The 5295-nt window shown below is 47.1% G+C and overlaps 1 annotated feature.

Moving 5' to 3' along the window:
• Window positions 1543–2049: an enhancer, noted in NCBI's record as "H3K4me1 hESC enhancer chr2:238341552-238342058 (GRCh37/hg19 assembly coordinates)". NCBI's record gives its function as "activates a minimal SCP1, AML or CMV promoter by ChIP-STARR-seq in naive H9 embryonic stem cells {active_cell/tissue: H9 hESC(naive)}" and the evidence as "EXISTENCE:reporter gene assay evidence [ECO:0000049][PMID:30033119]".

The following is a 5295-nucleotide window of genomic DNA, read 5'->3' as shown; positions in this document are numbered from 1 at the left end:
TCTCCAGGAAGGCTTTTATGACTCCAGCTGACTAGACTGAATTAGACCTTCAGGGGCGGAGCTAGGGAAGGGGTGGGGGATGGTGGTGGAGGGGAGCTAGCAGTTTTAATAAGCCCCCCAGTGGCTCTGACAGGCAGCCAGGCTTGCCAGCACTGCTCTGCTGGAAGCATCCTGCAAAAGCCGTGCTTATTTATTTGCTTTTGTGAGCTTCATCAGTTCTTCCAATTTTCACCCTGAAAATGATCCTTCAAACTCAGCCGCTGGATAAGACACCCTGAAATGGACATGCCTAATGTGAAACGTAGGTGCTTGATTGGGTTGGGCTGTGATCGTCTGTAGAAGGTTGACTAAATGGGTGTCCAGTGTCTTATTTGTAGCTCAGAGAGACAACCTTCTGGCTACAGTGGTAAGAACTGATGTCTCCTCCAGGTGCTTTTGATGGGCCAGGTGTGTTCCAATTACTTTAAGTGTTATGCACGCATGCACTCTGCACTGCACCCTTATGTGCAAGTGTGACTATTATCCTTATTTTACAGAGAAAGACAGTGAGATCTGGTGAGGTTGAGTACTTGGCCCCCGGTGACTTATCACACCTGGGATTTGATCCAGACCCTCTGGCTTACACCTGTCTTAGGTCTGGCTCCGTGGAAACAGTGCCTGAGACAAATTCTCAGTGCAAGTGACTGATCAAGGGATATGGATGCTGTGGGAGAAGCTAGCACAGGAGGGAGGGGAGCGGGAGAGGTCGGGGAGGAAGTGGGGCAAGGGGTGTGCAGGGGAAGTGCAGCCGAGCCGGCTCTCATGTTGCTCAGGGGCATTCATTAGATTTGCCCTGTAGTGCTTGGCAGCCTTCCCTTTGCCAGTCTTTGGCTTTGGGCCTTCTCTGGAGGGAGACATAGTTCTTGGGACCTCTGGGGAGGGGCCGCTGTTGCTTAGGGATGATTCTCCAGGGAAGGCTACCTGTGCGAGCGCTTAGCAGCACCTGCAGCAGCTGGGAGATGGGCTCTCCCGTGGACAATGAATCCTAGGGGCTGGAGGGGGAGTAGCCAATGATGTGGCCATCACCCATCACAGCCCTCATCCTTAGCCATGATACAGAGTGCAGAGCTGTAAGCCATCCGGGCAGCTCAGCCTGGCCCAGACAATTCTGGAAAGGGAAGGTTCCTGGGCTTTTTTCTCCTGTGCTCCGGGATCTCCACTGTGGTTGCCATCAATAGACATGATTACCAGGCACCTCTCTCTGGCGGCACCTGGATGGGCTTCCTTCCTTGGGAGTCTGAAGGTGGCAAAAGGGTGCAGAGGATGTCCTGAGAGTGCAAAGTCCTTCCCCTGCACTAAGAGTCACACGCAGCCATCTGTGTTCTGTACCTTCTGTACCTTTAGCCCATGGCACAGTCTGGCACATGGTAGCTCTCAGGGACAGCTTAGTGGCATGAATGAATGAGTAAAGCAATGATGCCATCAACCTTATTGCCACCAAGTTCCCGGCCATGCTGCTGTCCAGAAAGCCTATTGGGCAAACTTGAGGCCTTGTTATCTTCTCCTTCACTGTCTTTCTAAGAAACAGGCTTGCAGCCCACTCGCCACCCCTCCCAGAGTTTAGTTGGCAGATTTGATGCAGGTCTTGGGTGTCTGAGAAAGTGATCATGTGTGTTTCCTGGGGACGCAGACTGCCAACGTGCAGGTGAGAAGCTACGGGGCAGTTCTCCAATGCTCAGTGACCCCGCTCGGGGCTGGAGAGGTGAGTTGAGGAGACAGCGAGGTAGGGATGCTCATGCATGGTTACGGTTACTGTTTACAGCTTCTCGGCCATTCGTGGCTGCAGCCAGTGGAAAAAGGACTTCACCATTGCTTATAAACCATGAATCAGTGTCCGCCTTTGCTAACGGCTTCCTTGGTGAGTATCTCATTCACTTTGCCCCTGAGGGAGGATGGGGGGTAGCTGGAACAATGTGCGTCTGTGCCATTTCCTGTGAATGGCTGCCTGGCAGTCGTCTGCTCATCAACCCCAACGCAGTGCTCCGACCCCTCCCGGTCTGTGGCCGAGGTGGGCGGGCGGGAGGTGAGCCTGGCTCCTCTGCTGGCCTGCCTCCCCACTTACTCACTACCATGTCATCTACCCAGGCCTGTCCCCGCCCACTTGCCGATGGCATCCCGGACCTGGGACAGCCTGGCAGGGAGCCCATGTTCCTGTTCCTCCCTTCCCTTCCCCAGAACCTTCTTTATCTACCCCAGAGAGCCAGCATTCCTTCCTGCAGGGGCTCATCCTCCTGCAGTGCTGTGGTCAGCAGTGGGCTGGACACAGAGAGGTGAAAGCTCATGTCCTGTCTGCGAGAGGTGCATGGTCTTATCACAGTGTGCACAAGTGATGACACGGAGGTCGGGTACACTCCTGCTGGCAGCCCTGTTGCAGGAGGGCATCACTCTGTCTGGGTTGCCAAGGACGGCTGCACAGCAGAAGTGATTGTTAAGTGTCTGGGTGGAGAAGAGGGAGAGGATGTTCCAGGCAAAGAGAACAGTATGAATGGCTGTGAAGTTCCAAGGCTCTTTATTTGTTACATGTGCTAAAACATTCTGTGGCCTTTAATCTCTTCTACTTACTCCTCTCAACCAATCTCCATGATAACCCTGGGAGGCCGGAAAGATGAGGGCATTATTGTCATTTCACCACAGAGAAATTGGAGGTCAGATGGAGTAGCCAACAATCCACATCCTCTCCTTCAGACCAGTGACAGCCCCCAGCCTGCAGCCTGCCCCCCACTTCTCCATTGCTGGGTCAATGCACAAGATGCATGATTTCATTTCATCCTATTTCACTTCATCTCATCTCACTGTATTCCGCTTGCCTCCTGCTCCCCAGCTCTAGGCAACTACTGACCTTTCTGTCTTTACAGGTTTGGTTATTCAAACATTGCATAGGAATGGAATCATAGAACACATGATATTTTGTGACTGCCTTCTTTCACTTGGCGTAATGTTTCTGAGGTTCATCCACGTTGTAGCGTGTATCAATACTTCATTCTTTTTAATAGATGATTAATATTCCATTGCATGGATGTAATACATTTTGATCATTCATCACTTGATGGACATTTGGGTTGTTTCTACTTTTTGCCTATTAGGAATAATGCTACTAAAATAAACATTTTTTTTGTTTTGCTTTTGTGTGAACATTTGTTTTCAATCCTTTTGAGTGTATAGCTAGGGGTGGAATTGCTGGGTCATAGGATAACTCTATGTTGATCCTTTGGAGGAACTGCCAGAAAGTTTTTTTTTTTTGAGGTGGCTGCACCATTTTACATTCCCACCAGCAGTGTGTGGGAGTTCCAGTTTCTCTGTATTCTCATTAATACTTGTTATCTAAGTCATCCTAGTGAATTGGAAGTGGTAGTTCTTTGTGGTTTTGATTTGTCATTCTCTGATGACTGGTGACATTGGGCATCTTTTCATACACTTATTGGTCATTTGTACATCTCCTTTGGAGAAATGTCTATTTAGGCGCTTTGCCCATTTTACAGATTGGGTTTTTTTTATCTTTTATTGAGTTGTGAGAACTCATAATTTATTCTAGATACAAATCTCTCATGAGATATGTGATTTGCAAGTATTTTTTCCCATTCTGTGGGGTGTCTTTTCACTTTCTTAAAAGTGTCTTTTGAAACACAATAGTTTTAAAATTTGATGAAGTCCAATTTTTCTATTTTTCTATTTGTTGCTTTTTTTATGTGTCATATCTAAAAAAAAAACCATTGGCTAATCTAAGGTTGTGAAGATATACCCCTATATCTATTTCTAGGAGTTTTTATAGTTTTAGCTCTTATGGCTAGTTGTTTTTTTGTTTTTTTTTTTGAGACAGGATCTTGCTCCATGGTCCAGGCTGGAGTGCAGTGGTGTGATCACAGTGCAGCTTCAACCTCCTGGGCTCCAGCTCCTCCCACCTCAGCCTCCTGAGTAGCTGAAACTACAGTTGTGTGCTACCATGCATGGCTAATTTTTTAACTCTTTTGTAGAGACGTGGTCTCACTATGTTGCCCAGGCTGGTCTCAAACTTTTGGGCTCAAGTGATCCTCCCACCTTGGCCTCCAAAAGCATTAGGATTGTAGAAATGAGTCACTGCATCAAGCCACATTTAGGTCTTTGATTCATTTTGAGTTAATTTTTGTATATGAGGTGAGGTAGGGATCAAAGTTCATTCTTTTGGATGTGGATATCTTGTTTTCCCAAGAATGATGGAAAAGACAACTGTTTCCCTTGGAGTTGTTTTAGTGCTCTTGTTGAACATAAATGTAAAGGTTTAGTTATCAATTAAACATAAATGTAAGAGTCTATTGCTGGGCCTTTTTGGATTCATTAATCTATATGTCTATCCTTATGTAAGTCCCATGTGGTCTTGATTCCTGTTGGTTTGTAGTAAGTTTTGGAATCAGGAAGAGTGAGTCCTTCAGCTCTGCTCTACTTTTACATGATATTCTGGGTACCTTGTGAATTTTAGAATCAGTTTGTCAAGTTCTACCAAGAAGTTAGCTCTTTTTTTCCTTGTTATAGATCCAAATTTCTGACATCCTGATCATCTTAAGCCCAAGGAATAAGCTCAGAATGGCAATGGAAGAAGTGTTGAGAATGTCAGATGCTAGGTTGGGTGTGGTAGCTCATGCCAGTAATCCCAGCACTTTGAGAGGCTGAGGTGGGTGGATCACTTGAGCTCAGGAGTTTGAGACCAGCCTGGCCAACATGGTGAAACCCCGTCTCTACTAAAAATACAAAAAAATTAGCTGAGTGTGGTGACCCATGCCTGTAGTCCCAGCTACTCAAGAGGCTGAGGCAGGAGAATGGCTTGAATCCAGGAGGTGAAGACTGCAGTGAGCCAAGATTGTGCCACCACACTCCAGCCTGGGTGACAGAGTGAGATTTTGTCTAAAAAAATAAAAAAGTCAGATGCTATAGAGACAGAGTCACGGGAAGCATAGTCAAGAGGTGAGGGAGTGGTGCAAGCTGAGGGACTCCAGTGAGCATGGGCCCCGCCTCCTGGCTGGGTGCCTCCTTTCTGGGTTGTAAGTGGATTCAGGGCACCAACAATCCCCAGAGTCCCACAGGGCTGCTCAGCAGCCTTTGCAAAAAGTTCTCACCAAGCTAGGGACACACTTACGTTTATTTTGGGGCTAATAGGATAAAAGAATTTTGCCTTCAACCCTGTCTTTATTCTGCCTGTAATTTTTGTATCTGAAACTTGAGTTTCATATGTTTTCAGTATCTTGGAGACTTGTGATCTCAAGCAACTGTATAGAAGCTTCAACT

The sequence above is a fragment of the Homo sapiens genome, chromosome 2, assembly GCF_000001405.40.
Source record: "Homo sapiens chromosome 2, GRCh38.p14 Primary Assembly".
In the NCBI taxonomy this organism is placed as follows: Eukaryota; Metazoa; Chordata; class Mammalia; order Primates; family Hominidae; genus Homo; species Homo sapiens.
The sequence above is the reverse complement of the archived record's forward strand: the minus strand, read 5'-3'. Positions and strand labels throughout refer to the sequence as shown.